The 19,682-nt window shown below is 43.0% G+C and overlaps 1 protein-coding gene across 3 annotated transcripts in view, besides 2 other annotated features; it reads left to right on the forward strand.

Moving 5' to 3' along the window:
* Positions 1-19,682, forward strand: part of THSD4 (thrombospondin type 1 domain containing 4) — a 686,490-nt gene that overhangs the window by 42,464 nt on the left and 624,344 nt on the right. For all 3 annotated transcript variants that reach the window (NM_001394532.1, NM_024817.3, XM_047433080.1), the window contains exons 2-3: positions 2,092-2,199; positions 15,506-15,575. In NM_001394532.1, coding sequence (NP_001381461.1) covers positions 2,171-2,199; positions 15,506-15,575 — 99 coding nt within the window. In that variant the 5' untranslated portion in view covers positions 2,092-2,170. The remainder of the gene's footprint in view (positions 1-2,091; positions 2,200-15,505; positions 15,576-19,682) is intronic.
* Positions 14,660-15,859: an enhancer, noted in NCBI's record as "MED14-independent group 3 enhancer chr15:71446356-71447555 (GRCh37/hg19 assembly coordinates)". NCBI's record gives its function as "activates an origin of replication core promoter dependent on BRD2, BRD4, P300/CBP and CDK7 cofactors, and independent of MED14, by STARR-seq in HCT116 cells {active_cell/tissue: HCT116}" and the evidence as "EXISTENCE:reporter gene assay evidence [ECO:0000049][PMID:35650434]".
* Positions 14,735-15,236: an enhancer, noted in NCBI's record as "NANOG hESC enhancer chr15:71446431-71446932 (GRCh37/hg19 assembly coordinates)". NCBI's record gives its function as "activates a minimal SCP1, AML or CMV promoter by ChIP-STARR-seq in naive H9 embryonic stem cells {active_cell/tissue: H9 hESC(naive)}" and the evidence as "EXISTENCE:reporter gene assay evidence [ECO:0000049][PMID:30033119]".

The following is a 19,682-nucleotide window of genomic DNA, read 5'->3' on the forward strand; positions in this document are numbered from 1 at the left end:
TCAGGGACTTGGCAAAGACTTCATTTGACTTCCAAGTTAAATCCCCTGACTTGGTGCAGACCTGTTCTGCAGCCAAGAGCAAGAAGACCACACCTCTGATTCAAAGGCATTTTAACTGTTCCAATTTGCACTTGTTGGCCTTCTTCCTGGTGGATCTCAGTGTAATTTCTGACTGAGAGCCAAGAATTTAAGGGTCTTCAATACCAGGAGTAATTTCATGAGTTGCTGATGGCTAATTAGGGATGATTACAGTTAAGAGGCTTTACTTTCTTAATAACCCGCAGAAAGGGCCTGTGGTAACTTAAAATCTTGATTCTTTTTCCCTGAGAATGGAATTGTCTGGTTCTCATGACTATCTTTTTGTAAATCCTTGTCCTTTATTTTCCCACCCACATTTTCTGGTGAAAAGGAAGTCTGAAGTCTCTGGAAGAAACAAGAAAATAATGATCTTAGAGAACTCCACCTTTATTAGAAAGGATCCCTGGCCCACCTTGGAACCTTGCTTCATTTGTCTTTCCCTTCAAGGAGTTGCAGCAGGAGAGGAGACTGGGCCATGTTCTGTTTTATTCTCTAAGTTTTACTACGTTGCAACCAACCCGCCCATCCTGGGCTTTCTGTTGCTATTCATAACTTGCCTTTGAAACTATTGGCTCACTTGACAATTTTTAGAAATTTTGTTTAGTGAGGGCTTCTGAATGAAGTAGTATTTATGGGCGAGAGATTTTACCTCCATGTTTTCACTGTGACAACGTATTTTAAGTGTTGTTTGACCTCTTCTTGCATCACCATATTAGTTCATTTTGCATTGCTATAAAGGAATGCTTAAGACTGGGTAATTTATAGAAAGGTTTATTTGGCTCCCAGTTCTGCAGGCTGTACAAGAAGCATGGTGCTGGCTGGCATCTGCTTCTGGTGAGGACCTCAGGAAGCTTTCAATCATGGTGGAGAAGGAAGGGCAGCCAGTGTGTCACACGGCAAGAGAGGGAGTGAGAGAGAAGGGAGGAGGTGCCAGACTCCTTTTAGGCTCTTTTTAACAATCAGATCTCACCCTAACTAATAGAGTGAGAACTCACTCATTACCACAAGGAGGGCATCAGGGCATTCATGAGGGACCCACCCGCATGACCAGACACCTCCAATGGACCCCACCTCCAATACTGGGAATCAGTTTTCGGCATGAGATTGGAAGAGGACAAGTATCCAAACTCTCAGTATCATCAGAGCAACCATTTACTGAGGGTGACGCTGCCCCAGCCACAGTCTAAGCATGTCACATGCGTTCCCTCATTTAATCTTTATAACAACCTGCAGGAGTTCTTTAGACAGTATTTTCTAAATAAGTTTTATTGAGATATAATTTATTTCCCATACGTTTCACAATTTCGTGTACAATTCAGTAGTTTTTGGTATATTCGCAGGGTTGTACAACCATCACCACAATCTAATTTTAGAACACATTTATTACTCCAGGAAGAAACACTGTACCCTCCCATGAACTCCTCCCAACCCCCAATCCCTGGCAACCAACGAATCTACTTTCTGTCTCTATAGATTTGCCTATTCTAGGCATTACCTATAAATGGAATCATATAATGCATGCTATTTTTGTATCTGACTCTTTTCACTTAATATAATGTTTTCAAGGTTCATCCCCATTGTAGCGTGTATGAGTACTTTATTTCTTTTTGTTGTTAGACAATATTTTTACTCAACTTGCACTGTTAGGGAAACCAAGACACATGAATGTGACATGACATCTATGGTCAAATAGCCTGTAATAGATGGGGCTGGATTTCCAGCACAAGTGTGCCTAGCACCAGCTCCCCTGTTAGCTCAGAGTCTGAGGTGATCGTTCTGATAGTAATTTACTGAACATCTTCTGTGGGTCAGGCACTGTGCTGGTTGTCTTGTAAACTTGTTACCTCATGTTCATAAATAATCAGATTTCAGTTGGGAAATCCTGGGAACCATAACTGGGCACTTTTGTTTTAGTATCTTCCATTTGCTCATTTCTGGTTTTGTTGACCGAGTTACGCTTCTAGAATCTTCCTAAGTAAATGTTGCTAAAAATAACATTGTTCATTTCCATAGGACTTGAACGCAACTCCCAATTGCAGAAAATTGGCAACGTCTCTGAAGAGCCCTTGCTTTTGCCTGGACCCCCAGCATCATGGTTTCCCATTTCATGGGGTCTCTCAGGTAAGTGAAGAAACTTTTTTTAAAAAAACAGGAGAATAAGAAATTTGATATTTGCATTTTACTCTGTCATTTCTTAAAGTAAGTGATCTTAAGGGTCTGCAGCTGACTGATATTTTTGATATAATACGTCCACTTGTGTAAAAGTTTGCTATTCAGAAGGGCCTCCAAGGCCTTGGGAGCTGTGTGCTGTGCTGAGTGGCTTGGGGTCGAAGTCAATCTACTATCTTCTGGGAGACCTTCTGTAGGCTTCAAGAAAATTTTTTTAGGCCGGATGCAGTGGCTTACACCTGTAATCCCAGCATTTTGGGAGGCTGAGGCAGGCAGATCACCTGAGGTCAGGAGTTCAAGACCACTCTGGCCAACGTGGTGAAACCCCATCTCTATTAAAAATACAAAATTAGCTGGGCATGGCGGCAGGCACCTGTAATACCAGCTATTGGAGAGGCTGAGGCGGGAGAATCACTTGAACCCTGGAGGTGGGGTCAGATCAATGTATATTTACCGTGGTTGCATAATACAATTTTCTAAAGAACTTAAAAAAATTGTTCTCTGGTTGCAACGCCATAGATTTTGACTGAATCTGGTATTTTAAAATGGTGCTCTCTCTTGTCCCTTATGTACAAAACATTTTTGACTTTCACCTGCGTTTTAAAATTCAATCTTTATATCAACCATGCGTGGCAAGTTGAGTAAGTACTATTATCCCTTTTGTGTAGATCAGAAAACCAATGCTCAGAGAGCTTACATCATGGCTGTCACCTTCCTTTATGTGCAGAGTTAGAATAAGGGCTCTGAGCATTGCAACTGTAGTCCATGTTATCGAAGTTGTTTTCAAACTTTTTAAAAAGGCTGACAGAGCCTTTTAAAAATTCTTCAATCAAAATCCTATGCAAAATCTCAATATATAAAATAGACAATGACAGTATTTTATTAATATAAATTTACTTTATAAGTTTAAATTTATAATATTTATACATTATGAGATCAATGCATTAATTTTGATAAATACCGACATTTGAAATCAGGATTTATGGTTGGCAGCTTAAATATCTGCCCAAGCATCTAGTTTATTTTGCAGCTGTTTTAGCTGTGTAGCATTAAGAAAATCCTAACCCATTACAGGTAAGTACTTGCAATTGGTAACAATTCTGTGATGAAGCTCATCTTACTATTTTAGGATACTATTTAAATAAATTGACTGAGAATCTGGAATGAGGGGAAGGAAGAACGTTTTGTTTCCAAGTTGAATCATTATGATATCTTGTAGTCTTTTTTCCATACCTGTACATTAGTCCCACATGCCTAGAACTTATAACAGAAAGTAAAATGGTCTGTAATATATAGCATATTACATATGATGGTGCCACAGGTGGTTGGCCAACCAGGGCTAGAGCATTTGCCAAGCAGATGCCCTTGGGCTAATGCCTGGCATTTAACTGAGTGCAGTGCATGTGTGTGAGCTTTAGTATGTAGTTGCTTGTATAATTTTACATGGGCAGACGTGTGCAGGCCTGCAATCCAAATACCCGCAGAGAACTACAAACCTCTTTATCAATGACATATTCACATGCATGTCAGATATGGTCAGAAAAGAAAGAAAAAGCTTCATTCTGAAGGCTGTATGATATTGAGCCACGAGGAGGACAGCCCAAATTAACGTTTGGTGATCTCTTCAGGATAGAAGTTGGCATCTAGTACAAATTAGCATGTGTGCTTTTTTAAAACTATAGTTTAAAAAAGAGTTTAAAAGATATTTCAAGACATGAAATATGCATCTAGTTTGTGGAAGTTCCAAAATACTGTTATAAAACTATAGGGTAGTGAGAAATGCAGTTGGCCCACAGGGTCATTGTAGGACCATGGCATTTTAAGCACCCAGGACCCCATGTAGGACAAAGAAGTGGAGGTCACAGTCGGTTATTGAACTTATTCGAAAAGGGCAAGCAGATTATGAAAGGTAGGTTCGCCATGTGCTAAGCTTGTGTAAGTCTGGCTGTCGTCAAAAAGGCCCCTAAAAGTGCTTGAGGACCCTCAAAAATGTGGCCACCCAGGCTGCACAGGCAGGGAGTTTCTTGGGAGGAAATCCCTTTTGCAAAGTTTTTTCTTAATGTCTTGGATTTTTTTCTTTCTTTTTTTTTTCTTTCTTTTTTTTTTTTTTTTTTTCAAAAGAGACAGGATTTTGCTTATCACCCAGGCTGGAGTACAGTGGCGCAATCATAGCTCACTGTAACCTTGAACTTCTGGGCTCAAGCGATCCTCCACCTCTGCCTCCCAAGTACGAATAGCCATGTCCTGGAATTTTAATTAATGCCCCTGCAAACAGTCTCCTGTAATGATCTGAGCAGGGTGTGTGGTATGGAGATCATCTCCCTTTGCGGGAGGCCTGGGGAACTCACCTCTAAACTGTGCATTATTTCAAGGAAATTGCCCACAGAAGGGAAATTAGCAGGATGGGAGTAGTTGAAAGCTAGATGCTACCCTTGTGGTGGAGCTCTGGAAGCCTTGACAGGCCTCCAGCACGAGAGTCCTGCTGCAGGGATTGTTTGAACAGAGCTGCTCAGCGGGACATTTTGCCAAGAATTCTGCTGTCAATACTAGAGGAAGAAAATGTGAATTATGAGGACAGCTGATTCTTTAGGAGATCTCAGCTTGAGATTCCCATCAAACTCCCTTCTTCATAAACCAGGTGCACATCAACCATTTTGCATCCCTGTTTTTAGGGCCATGTAAATATATTTTTAAGAGAAAAAGAAGCAAAAGTAGAGTGTCTTCTGTTTAAATGCTTTTCAGAATGTTATGGGGAAAAGGGCTGTGGGTTACTTGAAGCGTGAGAGGTCTTTGACAAAAGTGGTAGATGAGAAGCACACACAGACGCACACACATGTGAAGGGATTTTTAATATTTATCAAGGCAACTAAATACATAAAGATCAATTGGAGAAGCTGGAGAATTTCTCTACCTTAAGAGAAAACAGGTTAAAATTAGGAATTAGCTGCCAAGAAAATCCCTGAAAGAACATTTAAGGGGAATCACAACTCTGATACACAGAGATTTCATTTAAAAACCCCTCCCCATTTTTTGCCAAGCCACAGAGAAACAGAAAACCAGCTTCCTTCTCATTGAAGGAGACAGAGAAGCCTTGGGCATTAACATCGCAAGAGTATCTCTGCCTTGCTCAGAGTGTGTAGTAATAAAAAGAATCACAGTTAAACCTAGTAGCAGAGGAGGCACTAAGATTCTAACTCTCGATGGATCTGGTTGGGAATTATCATTGAATCTTGGACAAGCTCTGGATGCCATGTAAAATTCAGGGCAATGAAAGTCCATGTGGACCAAAGTGTAGGCTAATCCTTAATGAGGAATGTTTGTCACCTGTTAAAAATTAGAAAGGAAATGGCACTAAATGATACAGAATTATTTATGTTTCTTAAAGACTTGCTCCAAATTATGCACTTTTTTTTTTTTGGATGCACAATTACATCTTTATTTGTTTGTTCAGTGAGTGATAGGAAGGAAACATAATTTTGTCCCTAGAACAGTACAATAAATGCTGATGGCTACCTGACCTGGCCAGCCAACAAAATCTCTGGAGCCAGTCTGCTTGACCAGGTGCTTCTTCCTTTACTTCAAGGAGTGCTTTTGTATGGTTGACGTATTTTATATTTCAAGTGAAAGCAAAGAGAAAAACAGAACTATCAAATGCCAAACAAGTAGTGAAACTGGCAGGAAATAAAATTGATTTTGGTGATTTTTATTTTGAACAGTAGTTTTTGAAGAATTACAGATGTAATGAGAGTGATTACAGAGTTAGAAGGTGATTTTTATAGATCTTATGAGGGAGACTTCTGGATTATTTTAAGGGTTTTATAGGTTGATGGCCCTAGGTCAAGTGTCTGGTTTTAGTCTTCTGAAACGTAAAGTTTTTCTTTTCCTTGATGCATACTTCAGTAAAGTATTATTACTTTAATGCCTGTCAGCTACTGCACTTAGAAATACAACCAAAAGGGTTGAGGAAATGAGAAAGAGAAAGGTGGCTGTTCTTAGGAGTAATTGAAAAAGATCCTGAATACAGAAAGGAAGAAAGGGGTTAAGAAAACGTGTTTTTATGTGTGAGAAAGAGAATGCCCCAAGTAGTGATATTTAAGGTACAATTGATCAGTGAAAACTGAAATTTCCCTTGGGGGTAAAGAAATATGTAATAATTGTGTGGGGTCATGGAGTCGATCAGTGTCCCTGTGCCAGTGATCAGGAAATGGGGAGAAAGAGGTTGGGGAGGAGGGAGTGGAGGAAGGAGAGGGAAGGAGAAGGAGGAGGAGCAGGAGGAGGAGGGGAAGAGGAGCAAAGGGAAGGGGAGGCCAGGCCTGGATCACAAGTATTAAACTTCATGGTATTAATAAGGCAGGCCAGAATTTGTGTAACTGACATCTAAACTACTACTTGGTTAATGCTTAATAAATATTTGTTGAAGAGTAAATGAATAAATTAATAACTACCTTTTATGTACAACAGATAAGGTTGAAATTTTCTCTTTCCTGACCAGGATAGTTAGCTAGTTAATTACAAAAGTAGGGTGAAGCATGGAAATCAAACAAATAACACACACACACACCTTCAACAGTTTACTTTTAACTTAAAACACATGTACATCCATTCACCAGTTTTTGATTTGGGGCCATGGGCCTTTCTTTGCTCATGAACCCGATTGTCTTTCTTGCACAAACCACACCCATAAGCATTATGTGAGGTTTCCATTTGGGTTTCTTTAAAGTGCAGTGAGAATATAAAGACATTTGCAAAGCAGTCTGAGTACCAGAATGATTCTGGATTTTTATTATTTTTGCCCCTAATCATTTGCAGTTGTCTCATCCACACCTAATTTGCCAGTAGTTTTTTTTTTTTTTTTTTAATCTTGGCTGCTTGCCTTTATTGAAACTTTCCAAAGCAATTAACTTCATTTTTGTAGAAACAACTAACAAATGTTCTTTCTTCTTGTGCTTGCTTTCATGGGTTTGTGTACTATTTGAATACTTATGTCACTACAAAGCAATAGCAACTGGCATAAACAGGTGTGGAAACATGGTTGACACTATATGAACACAGTACATCTGGGGGGTGCAGAAGTGTGCAAGTGTCCAGGGAAGAATCGGCCGCAGTCTTGTCTGTGGGAAGCCCGGGAGGAGCCATCTGAGTGGTAGGCATAGAGGCTAGGAGGAAATAAAATAGATTTTTGGAGGACTGCCCTGGCAAACCCCCATCTGTAAAATGACGGCAAGCATTCAGACAGTATTGATTTTTCTTTATGCCTGGCACAGCCCTGTACCTGGATCCTGTCCTCATCACTCACTCCTTGACTGTGGGATTTGCTAGAACATTCTGTACCCAAAAAGGCTCAATGGAGTCAAGGTGTGATCACTGGGCTGCCAATTACCCATTCCTTATATCTCTAAGTGTATTTTTATGCCTTGGGTTAACATTGACCCCTCCTCTTCCTGCCAGGGATTAGAACCAGTAATTCCAATTTGTAGAAATCTGCTTTTTACCATTGTCTTCCTTTTCCCAGCTCTTTGGCTTTTCCAACAGGGAATTCTGGGATGCACTTAGAAAACATTTTCTTGATGAAAACTGTCACAGAGCAGCACTTTTTGTTTTTGAATTTTTATTTTTTAGAGACAGGGTCTCTCTCTGTTGCCCAGGCTGGGGTCCAGTGGCACAGTCATAGCTCACTGCCACCTCAAATGCCTGGGCTCAAACGATCCTCCCACCTCAGCCTCCTGAGTAGCTGAGACTACAGGTGTGTGCCACCAGGCCCAGCTCACTTTAAAAAAAATTTTTTTGTAGAGATGTGATCTCACCATCTTGCCCAGGCTGATCTTAAACCCCTGGACAGCAACACGTTCTTTAGTGACTGATATTTCCTCCCTCCTCTCTTTCTCCTTTTCTTCCTTCACTTTATTCTATCCTTCCATTCTTTTATTCAGTTGATATTTATTAGTCTTGAGGATGGGTCAAGATTATGCGGATTGTTTTGTTTGCTGCAAAGGTGTATCAGAAACCATTTCTTCAAGAAACCTGCCACTGAGGAGGGAAATTTACCAAAGCGTGTTGTGTCTTTAAAAGCTGTGCTGTGTAGGCCAGAAAGGTGGCTCACTGTAGTCCCAGCACTTTGGGAGGCCGAGGCAGGCAGTTCACTTGAGCCGAGGAGTTCAAGGCTAGGCTGGGCAACATGATGAAACCCTGTCTCTACAGAAACAAACAAATGAACAGTTAACTGGGTGTGGTTGCATACACCTGTGGTCCCAGCTATTCAGGAGGCTGATGTGGGAGGATCACTTGAGCCTGGGAGATAGAGGCTGTGGTGAGCTGTGATCTTGCCACTGCACTCAGCCTGGGTGATAGAGCAAGACTCTGTCTCAAAAAAAAAAAAAAAAAAAAAAAAAAAGCTGTACTGTGATAAACCACCTCACATTGCCAGAAGTACTGGTCGAGAAAATACAAATGGCTGCAAGACCTGAGAACCTGGAAACAAGCAATAAAAACCAATTTGCAGTTAAAATATGTGTCCTTAAGTCCATGCTCTATAATGGAAATATTTCACTCTGCGCGAGCCAGGCAGGCCTTTTCCCGGGGCCTGTTGGTCTTGGTTTGGCTGCAGCTTAGTTATCTGAATGTTTCCAAGACCAAGGCAGATCCAGAGGGAGCCCAGTTAAGAGGACACAGGGTCACTGACAGTACAGTAAACAACACCTGATAGCAGGAAGGAGACAACTAAGTGCCAACCAGATTCAGAAAGCCCTAGGTGTCTGGAGTTCTCAAGCCGAAGGCTGCTGTGCGCCGAAGACCTCCACCTTGGGCTGCACAAATTGATTGATATTCACCTTGGTGCCTCTGAGCCATCTAAGAAAGGTTTCTTAAGCTCAGATGAATTTGTGTAAGAAAACAGAGAAAATAAATAGAATGCATTTTTTTTTTAAGTTTGGGATTTATATGGTCAGCTTCATTTATTTTGAAATTTAGAATATCCTCTGGTGGGACTGGATGAATGCAGCTTTATTGCGTCCACCTAGTTTCTGATGATTCTTGCAAGCAGTGGCAGAAAATAAAGGAGGCTGTGAAGCCACCAGGCTTCCCCACCTCATACAGAGTGAGGAAGAAAGTGGATGTAATCAGATGGCAAATGCTTGTTTTGTAAAAATGTGTTGTGTCCTAATGAGGCCCCGCAGCACAGTGGTTAAGAGTCCAGGCCAAGGGTCTGACCGCCTGTGTTAGAAATCAGGCTTTGCCACTTAGTAGGTATGTGTGGCTGTTTGGTAAATGACTTAGTCTCTCTTTGCCTCAAATTCCTCACCTGCAAAATGGGTATAATAAAAGTGTCTGATAGGATGGTTATGAAGTACTACTTGTGAGTGCTGAGATCAATGGTAGCCATCAGCTCTTTGTTGGCTAATGTCATTGGTAACCCATCCCCCTTCCTTGCTGCCTTTACTTTTTTTTTTTTTTTTTGAGACGGAGTCTTGCTCTATCACCCAGGCTGGAGTGCAGTGGTGCGATCTCAGCTCACTGCAAGCTCCGCCTCCTGGGTTCATGCCATTCTCTTGCCTCAGCCTCCTGAGTAGCTGGGACTACAGGCACTTAACTGTTGTCAGAAGAAGGCAGAGGGCTGAGCTGAGCATAGTGAAATGCATGCTTAGCAAACATTTTTGTTTTTTTGAGATGGAGTCTCGCTGTGTTGCCCAGGCTGGAGGGCAATGGCGTGATCACGGCTCACTGCAAACTCCACCTCCTGGGTTCAAGCGATTCTCCTGCCTCAGCCTCACGAGTAGCTGGGATTACAGGCACACACCACCACGCCCAGCTAATTTTTGTATTTTTAGTAGAGACGGGGTTTCACTGTGTTCGAGACCAGGCTGGTCTCGAACTTGTGACCTCAAGTGATCCGCCTGCCTCGGCCTCCCAAAGTGCTGGGATTACAGATGTGAGCCACTGTGCCTGGCCAGCAAACATTTGTTATCTCCAGAGTGCACTAGGCAGGATTTCACTTCAATGCTAAGATTTTGGCTCTCTTTTGCTAAGGTCGATATAATTTTATTAGTGATCTGGTTGCTCCCAAAATATCTCTTGGGTTGTATTAACTGAGGAAGAAAGGAAGTAGTTTTTTTTTCTTGTTTTCCTTGTTTTGTTACTTGATATGCCCAAGTGGTGTTGAGTTCATTGAGGTAATTTGAGGTACACAGGGGCTGTGACAGTATCCACCCTCACTGCAGCTGAGATGGTAGCGGGGGTGGAGAGTGGGATTGGCCAAGGCAAATACAGAAGCCCAGAGCTCCAGTTCCATGATGTAAATCTTGTACCAAATTTCAATGAGCATTATTTTCTACATGGGGAAATGAAATGATGGAGTGTTTAAAACCTAGAACAGCACTGGGTAGATGGCATAACTTTTTTTTTTTGTTTGGTGTGAAATGTTAGGTTATTTCAACTGCAAGGTGAATCGGAAAGTCTTGGTAGGAATGTAGCTTCCCCCACGCCACTTGGAAAGGAGTGTGGGATTTGTTTGCCAAAGGCCCTGGTAGCCTTCAATCTGTCAAAACGTTGCAAGCTGGGAGCGGTTTGCCAAAGCAAACTATCAAAGTGAAATAACACACGAGTTGCACACACAGAGACACATGCATGCTCTCTCATTCTCCAAACATTAATTTTGAATTGGGTCAGGAGGAACAAGGATTTGGGCTAGATTGTTGGTGTTTTGAAAAGAGGTGGGCACAGCTACAGATACCAATTAGCTAAGTATGCGCAAGCAGGGTGAGGTATCCTAAAACAGAGTGTGCTGAGCAGGGGTGGGAAACTTTCAGCCCTTGGCAGAGTTTCCTCTGGCCCCTGGGGTTATATATTGCTGTGCCTGCTGTTATTGTAGCCCAAAGAATAATTGCCCCTCTGGGGGAATTTATTCTATTCCATTCAGAGCAGAGACCATTTAATATCTCAGAGTTTACTCCAGAATGAATTTTGTTGGGTACCCCTATGCATTTTAGCTTCAATAGGGCCCAGTAAATGAAGAGAAGAAGCATTTGAACATCTAAATGTAATTTGTGTTGCACTTTTGTAACAAGAGGCACCAGCAAACATTTTGCTGCCATATCTTGTGATCTTCTAAGGATGGTTTTTTGGAGAGGGGTAACATAGAAATTCAAAAGCAGAACTGATTTTTATAAATCCCTCATAAAAGAAAATTTTAAAAGCTCCCGAAGTGGCTTTGGACATTTTCAAATATGTTAATTCACAGTATTTTCACTTAATCTTGAAATTTCAGGGGTCACCAAGATGGTGAAGCATCATTCTTTAATTCAGTGAATTAAGCTCCTACTATATAGCAGCCACTGTGCTAGGTGCTGGGGAATAAAGTAGTGACAAAACAAACTCCCTGATCTCATGGAGCTTACATTCCATTGGATAGAGAGAGAAATTTAAATAAAGACATAGTATGTGAGACGGTAAATGCTATGGAGAAAAGGGCTGGGCTGGGAGAGGGACCACTGTTTTTTGTAGGGTCAAGGAAGCCCTGTGAAGACAAGATCCTCTGGGCAGAGACCTTAAGAAGTGAGGGAACGAGTAGAATTGACCAGGCAACCTGGAATGCAGTTCCTCGGAGTCAGAGGAAAACCTAGATGTGATCTCACTCCCTTTCCTGCCCCAAGTCCCCCTGAATGCTATGAAAGTGCAATCTCAGATCAGTGATTATCCAAAACTGCTCCTTACAAATATGTGGCTACTGTGTGTGCCAAGAGCTTTGAGGCACTGAGGTGTAACATGTTTATGGAGCTGCAGCTTTTTTTTTTTTTAACAAAACCACACCAATCTGGTTTTCTTTTTAAATGAGTAAGCAGTGCCAGAATGTGTTACAAATGATTCACATTTTTAGGCCTGGGTGCAAGAAAGCACATTAACTCATTTGAGGTAGGAGGACAGGTTATACAATTCCCATTTTACAGATGAGGAAACTGAGGCACAGAGAGACGGTGATTTGCCCAAGGTCATGCAACCATGGAGCATGGACTTGTGAGTTGTGATGCACATGTTCTTGATTTAGAGGTCAAATTGGATCCAGCAGGGATACAGCTAGAAGATTACTGTCCTTTTGCCACCACTGTCTGGGAACCCGCTGTCTCTAATTCTCCTGCCCTATTGCTGGAAGACATCTTGGGCAATATTTCCAGTACATTCTGTGTGTAATGAACAGGCTCATTTTCAAGTATTAAAAAGTCCAAAGGAAGTTGTGTGTGATGGGAGTGAGAAGGTGAATCATTTTCGAAGTTATCCAGGACATCAGTAGCATCACCATCTAGACCTGTACCATTAGCTTCCTGTGTCTTGAATAGCACAGATCTGTGTATCTGCACTGGACAGTACCGACAGAGAATGTTTCCGTCATCATAGAAAACTCTATTGGACAGTGCTGCTCTAGATCCTCAGCAAGTTATAATTCAACTCTTTTATTCTTCTCCCCACTAATTTCATATTATTGTCCCGAATACACCCCTTGTTTGGAAGAATGTTGTTACAAATACAGTATATTAAAAGGAAAGTCTAGGCTGTGCATGGTGGCTCATGCCTGTAATCCCAGCACTTTGGGAGGCTGAAGTGGGCGGATCACCTGAGGTCAGGAGTTTGAGACCAGCCTGGCCAACATGGTGAAACCCCATCTCCACTAAAAATATAAAAATTAGCCAGGCATGGTAGTGCTGCCTGTAATTCCAGCTACTGGGGAGGCTGAGGCAAGAGAATCACTTGAGCCCGGGAGGCAGAGATTGCAGTGAGCCGAGATCAAGCCACTGCACTCCAGCCTGGGAGACAGAACGAGACTCTGTCTCCAAAAAAAAAAAAATAAAAATCAACAAAAGGAAAGTCTAGTCAGATGTAAACATTTTGATCTCTCATCCAGTTAAAAGCTTCTTTTCTCCTCTAAGCTGGGCCTGTTGTAGCCTCAGACCCCTGTAGTAGGGAAGAGGCGGCTTGGTTGGTTCCTTCACACTCCTAGTTCCCTGCCCGGCCCACTCACTGCCATTGTGAATTCCTCCAGGGTGAAGCAGAGGAGAGGAGAGGTAACTGGCAAAGACGTTCCCAGCGGGACTGGTGTTCCTTGTAATCTGGTGCTGCTGTCCTTGGTTGGCAGATGTCCAAGTTCCAGATTCTCCTCTCTCAGGGCACTTTGGAGAATTTCCCCCTCACTGGGCTCTCCTGCTGCGCCATGCCCTGGTGCAGGCTGTGCAAATCTGGCTGACTCCTTAAGATCCACCTCCGCACCCCCAGCTCCCGTACTCCATGGGTATAAGCTGTACATTTACTTTCTAGGAGGGGGGTCACCTCATTCTGGTGAAAATCTTTGGTGGAGTCCTTTCCAGATAACCTAAGTTCCATGTCTTTCCATGGTGCTAAAACATAACATCTCCTGCCCCTCCAGGCTCTAAAAATACAGACTGTTCCCACCCTAGCCCTCTCTCCAGTCTTCCCTCCTGGATACTCCAGCTAGGGTTTGGCCTTTAGATGTTTTTCAGAGGAGAATCAGGCACCAATCCTTGTACCCCCAGATACCAGGGCATCCGGATCAAGCTCTGAATGTTGTCCCTCTTGCTTGGCTTGGGGGAGAGTTCCTACTTTTCCTTCCCCATAGGGGAGTGGAGGGGCTGTATGCAGCACTCCTACATCCATCTTCAGGGAAATTCACACCTAGCAAACTCCATCCTCCAGCCTCCTTGTGCATACAGGTGGGAGGTGAGTGAGGGATGGCGCGCACCCGCTTTGTAGTTTCTGAACAGACAGGGCAGCCCCTCTCTTTGGAATGTGTGCATACTTAGTATCCATGTTCTCAGCTCTGGATCCTCAGCTGCAACTCCATGACAACAGCAAGAAGGATGCCTGCAACACCATATTACAGAGACCATCTTCCCTGCTTCTCACCACATTGCACAGTCTCTAGCCAGTCTGTCCATGTCTGTTCTGTGTGATCTCCTGGGTCACTTACATACAAAACAGGAGCTGGGGTGGAATTTTGGATTCTTAGAAATGGTGGAAGCTTTATCTAACTCCACAAGACCTAACCCCCGGCTTCGGGCAGGTTTTCCTCATCTCCACCCTGACGTGATGGTTTTTCTTGGTTCGGGGCAGTGTTTCACATCTCTCAGTTGTGTTGGAAGCCTCAAAAAGGTTGGGAACCACTATATTATTTAACTTAGGTTAAATACGATTTGACAAATGGTCAAAAGATGTAGTGGCCTTATTGCAGGGATGCTTAAAATAATGACATTGATGATTTGAAATCATGAGACTTTGGGCATTTAAATTAATTGACAATACTTGTCTCACCTTTGGTCCGAGGTTACATTTCCAATCACATTCAGCGGGACTTGGGGCAGGAGAGGGAGTGAAAGATCTAGGTTTTCCTCTGACTCAGAGGAGCTGCATTCCAGGTTTCCTGGTCAGCTCTACTCCTTCCCTCACCTTCTTAACTTACTAACCATGCCAGGTGTTTTACCTCTGTCATATTCAGTGATCCTCACAGAAGGTGAGAATGTTTGAGGCATGGAAATGCTAACGTGGAAATGTGACCCAGGATCACCCAGATGGGAATGATGGAGCTGCGATTCTAGCCTGGCTCCATGCCCTCTCCAGCACACCCTGCTGTCTCAGCCGGCTCCTATTTCCCCACCTCCTCTTTATTTGATGACATTCTCTAATCAGGGCTGGTGACAGTGAGGCTTAGCACAGCTAATCCCACCCATGGAGAACATATGTGACATCAAAAGGCTGGAAAGAGGCAGAGGAATGGTTCCCAGGAAAGCATGAGCTGTAAGGAGAGGAACTTCCCTGGCAGGCTCAAAGCCCATGCTTTTCCCTGACCTTACCACCCGTGAAGGACCGCATGTGGGCTACACTAGCACTCCCTCTGCCAGGCACGGTGCATCCTCTTACTCAGTTCTCCCCTAAACCTCTAAGCCAGTTCCCGTTGTCATCCCCGTTTTTCAGGGGAGGAGACTGAGACTTAGAGAGGTTAAAGCTCTGATCTAGAACCCCTGCGGGTAAGCAGGAAGGCTGGGATGTGATCCCACATCTGCCCCATGCCATGCCTTGCCACAGCACCATGCTGCCTCCCTCCTTTGGGGCCAACACTTTGTGTCTTCACTGGGTCACATCCCAGGGCCTGGGTTGGGCTGTTCCCCCCCCATCCACTGATGAGATGGCGATGCTGCCTTCCCTGGGTGCTGCTGCCTGGAACATACTCACCATCCTGCCTGTTGCTATTTTCCCTTTTCAGTGTCCTGTGTTTCCTTCTGCTGCTTGGATTCCAGTTCGTCTGCCCACAGCCCTCCACTCAACACAGGAAGGTAAGCCATGGCCATCCAGAGGTTTTCTTCTCTGCCCAAGGGGCTAGGGCCACTGTGGTCACTGCCCTGAACTTTGTTCTGTTTGAAGGTGAGTCACCACTGATCCTGAAAGGAAGCACCATTTACAGAATATGGAGTGTACTATTCTGTTCTCACATTGCTATAAAGAAATATCTGAAACTGGGGAATTTATAAAGAGGTTTTATTGGCCCACAGTTCTGCAGGCTGTACAGGAAGCATGATGCTGGTCATCTGCGTGGCTTCTGTGGAGGCCTCAGGAAACTTACAATTATGGCGGAAGACAAAGGGGGAACAGCACTTCACATGGCTGGAGAAGAAGCAAGAGAGAGAACGGGGAGGTGCCATACACTTTTAAACAACCAGATCTCATGAGAACTCTTTATTGCCATGACTGCACCAAGGGGGATAGTGTTAAACCATGAGGAACTATCCCTATGATCCAATCACCTTCCACCAGGCCCCGCCTCCAATATTGGAGATTACAATTCGACATGAGATTTGGGTGGGGACACAGATCTGAACCATGTCACGGAGCTTAAAACATGAAGCTGGTACCTGCAGTTGGTCTCTGATCTGAGAGCAGTGCCAGCTTTGCAACATGTGTTTGCTAGAATGGACAGTTGAGAGGTCAGTGAGAGCACTCTACAAAGGCATGGGCAGGGCTTAAGGAACCCACTTGGGAATGGAGGAGACCAGTATGGAGCTTTTACCCTCTCTTGGGGCACCTTCAAGGTCAAGGGCAGGGATAGAGCTGCAGCTGTAGCTATGGCTGTTGCTATGCAAGAGAACCCCCTGATAGGGAGTCATGATCTTCAGTAGAGGGACGCAGTCACTGCCAACTGATGGCCGGCAGGGATGGAACTGGAAGATAAGAACCTGGCCTTCTCTTTCCTCTCACCCCTTATTTCCTGCTGGTGACTCCCTTTGGCCAAACCAACCAGAAGACAAGAAGGCTTTGATGCAGTCCCCAAAGGCCAGCCTCCCGGGCCATAGGACTGGGTGGAGAAGGAGCAAATGGACAGTATTGCATATGCTTCCCTTCAGGCTTTGTGTGTTTTATAGTAAATGAACCATCCACCATTGCCTGAACAAGCCTAATGCTGCTCTGCAACTGAGCAGATCCTTGATCAATGTTTCCTTAGAGACAATGCATGATAGGACTCTTAGAAAGTCCCTAGAAGCCCTTTCTGCTACCTAGGAGCTCCTCCTGTTTACCTGGAATCAAATTCAGACTCCTGAGAAGAGATCAGTTATTTGTATCTAAGTGTGAGCAAGTTGGTCGGCTCCTTTTCTGAGAGGGGGTTTTCTTTTTTTTTTTTTTGAGATGGAGTTTCGCTCTTGTCACCCAGGCTGGAGTGCAATGGCACGATCTTGGCTCACTGCAACCTCCGCCTCCTGGGTTCAAGTGATTCTTCTGCCTCATCCTCCCAAGTAGCTGAGATTACAGGCCTGCGCCACCACACCCAGCTGATTTTTTTTGTATGATCAGTAGAGACAGTGTTTCACCATGTTGGCCAGGCTAGTCTCGAACTCCTGACCTCAATCAGGTGATCCACCCACCTCGGCCTCCCAAAGTGCTGGGATTATAGGTGTGAGCCGCTGCACTGGCCTGAGAGAGGGTTTTCATAGGGGAAATTCAGGACAGAAGGGGGCCAAGAAAAAAGAGTATGTGCACATATTTGGCTAAACATGACCCTTCTTGGGAGCAGTTCTTTGCGTTCTTATCTGATTATAGTCTAATTTATTTTCTGTTTGGGCTCTGTTTTTCTGGGCCAGGTATAAACCTCTATTGTACTGTATCTCCCACTAGGATGTCAACTCCGTGAAAGTAGGAACTTACTGGTCTTGTTCATGGCCCTATTCCCAGCTCCTAGAATACAGCCTGGCATGTTGTAGGTGCTCAATAAAATCCTTGTTGAATGACTGACTGAATGGAAAACCTGGCCAAGGTCTAAGCATCATTTCAATGGATTCACCTGGAAATTGGCACCCCCCTCCCCTGCTTACTCTGCTGCATCATCTCTATTCATAATATCAGGAGTCAGAAAGGACAACTGCCTACTTTTATTATGAAGTTATATTATTTATTAATGTTTAGAATTATCAGGGTTGTTAATCCTAAGAGTTGAGTCAATTTACTGTGTTCCTCTTGTTGTTGTTGCTCAAATAGGCTATCATAACGGAAAATACTTTATACGTGATCAATTTACTTTGCTGTCTCCTGTAATTTTTCAAGTTAAGCTGAATGATATGTGCGTAACCTGAACAAAAGGTCCCCAAATAGGTATCACTCTCATCTTTCTTCAAGTGTTTGCTCTGAGAGATGGGGAAAAAAAGATTTATGAGTTATTTTATCATTAAAATTTTTAAATTGACACATAGTAATTATACATATTTATGCATACAATTTGGTGGTATTTTAATACATATGTATTATATAATGATCAAATCAGGGTATTTAGCATTCTAGTCACCTCATGCATTTATCATTTTTTTTTGTGGTGAGAACATTCAAAAGCCTCTCTTCTAGCTATTTTGTCATATATAATACCTTACTGTTAACCATCATCAACCTACTGGGTAATAGAACACCAGAACTTATTCCCCCTATCTATGGTAACTTTGTACCCATTGACCAACCTCTGCCCACTCTCCCCTCTTTTCTTTCCCCTCTTCTCCTCAGTCTCTGGTAACCTCTGTTCTCCTTTCTGCTTCTATATCAACTCTTTTTTTTTTTTTTTTTTTTTTCAGATTCCACATATGAGTGAGATCTGTGGTATTTGTCTTTCTGTGTCGGCTTATTTCACTTTAAACATAATAACCTCCAGGTCCATCCATGTTGTCACAAATGACAAGATTTCATTCTTTTTAATGGACAAATAGTATTTCCATTGTGTATATATACACCACATTTTCTTTTCTGTTCATTTGTTGTTGGACAGTTGGGCTGAATACATACCTTGGTTACTGTGAATAGTGCTGCAGTAAACATAGGGGCACAGATGTTTCTTGAACATTCTGATTTCATTTCCTTTGGATATATATGCAATTGTGGGATTGTTGGATCCTATGGTGGTTCTATTTTTAGTTTATTAAGGAGGCTCCTACTGTTGTTCATGGTGGCTGTACTAATTTACAGTCCTACCCACAGTACGTAAGTGTTCATTTTCTTCCACATCCTTACCAACACTTATCTTTTTTTTTTTTTTTTTTTTTTTGAGATGGAGTCTCACACTGTCTCCTGGGCTGGAGTGCAGTGGCGCGATCTCAGCTCACTGCAACCTCCACCTCCTGGGCTCAAGTGATTCTTCTGCCTCAGCCTCCTGAGTAGCTGGGATTACAGGCATGCGCCACCATATCTGGCTAATTTTGTATTTTTAGTAGAGACGGGGTTTCTCCATGTTGATCAGGCTGGTCTTGAACTCCCGACCTCAGGTGATCTGCCCACCTCGGCCTTCCAAAGTGTTAGGATTACAGGTGGGAGCCACCGCGCCTGGCCAACACTTGTTTTCTTTTGTCATTTTGATGATAGCTGTTCTAACTGGAGGGAGGTGGTATCTCACTGTGGTTTTGGTTTGCATTTCCCTGATGATCAGTGATGTTGAGCATTTCAAAATATATTTTTTGGCCATTTGTATGTTTTCTTTTGATAAATGTCTATTCAGATCATTTGCCTATTTAATCAGATTGTTGAGTTGGTTTTTTTTTTTTGATGTTGAGTTATTTAAGTTCCTTACATATTCTGGATATTAGCCCCTTGTCAGATGTATAGTTGCAAATATTTTCTCCCATTCTGTATGTTGTCTTTTCAGTTTATTGTGGAAATTTACACCCCCTCACTTCACTGTTTCCATTGCTGTGCAGAAGCAAAGTTTGATGTCATTCCATTTGTTTATCTTTGCTTTTGTTTCCTGTGCTTTTGAGATCTTATTTCTAAAATCTTTGCCCAGCCCAGTGTGCTTTATGACACTGAATAAAACCTTATGTTTTGTTTTAGTAGTTTCATAATTTTGGGTTTTATGTTTGAATCTTTAATCCATTTTCAGTTGATTTTAGTAGGTAGGGGTCTAGTCTCTTCTTCTCAGT

Source organism: Homo sapiens, chromosome 15 (assembly GCF_000001405.40).
Source record: "Homo sapiens chromosome 15, GRCh38.p14 Primary Assembly".
Lineage (NCBI taxonomy): Eukaryota > Metazoa > Chordata > Mammalia > Primates > Hominidae > Homo > Homo sapiens.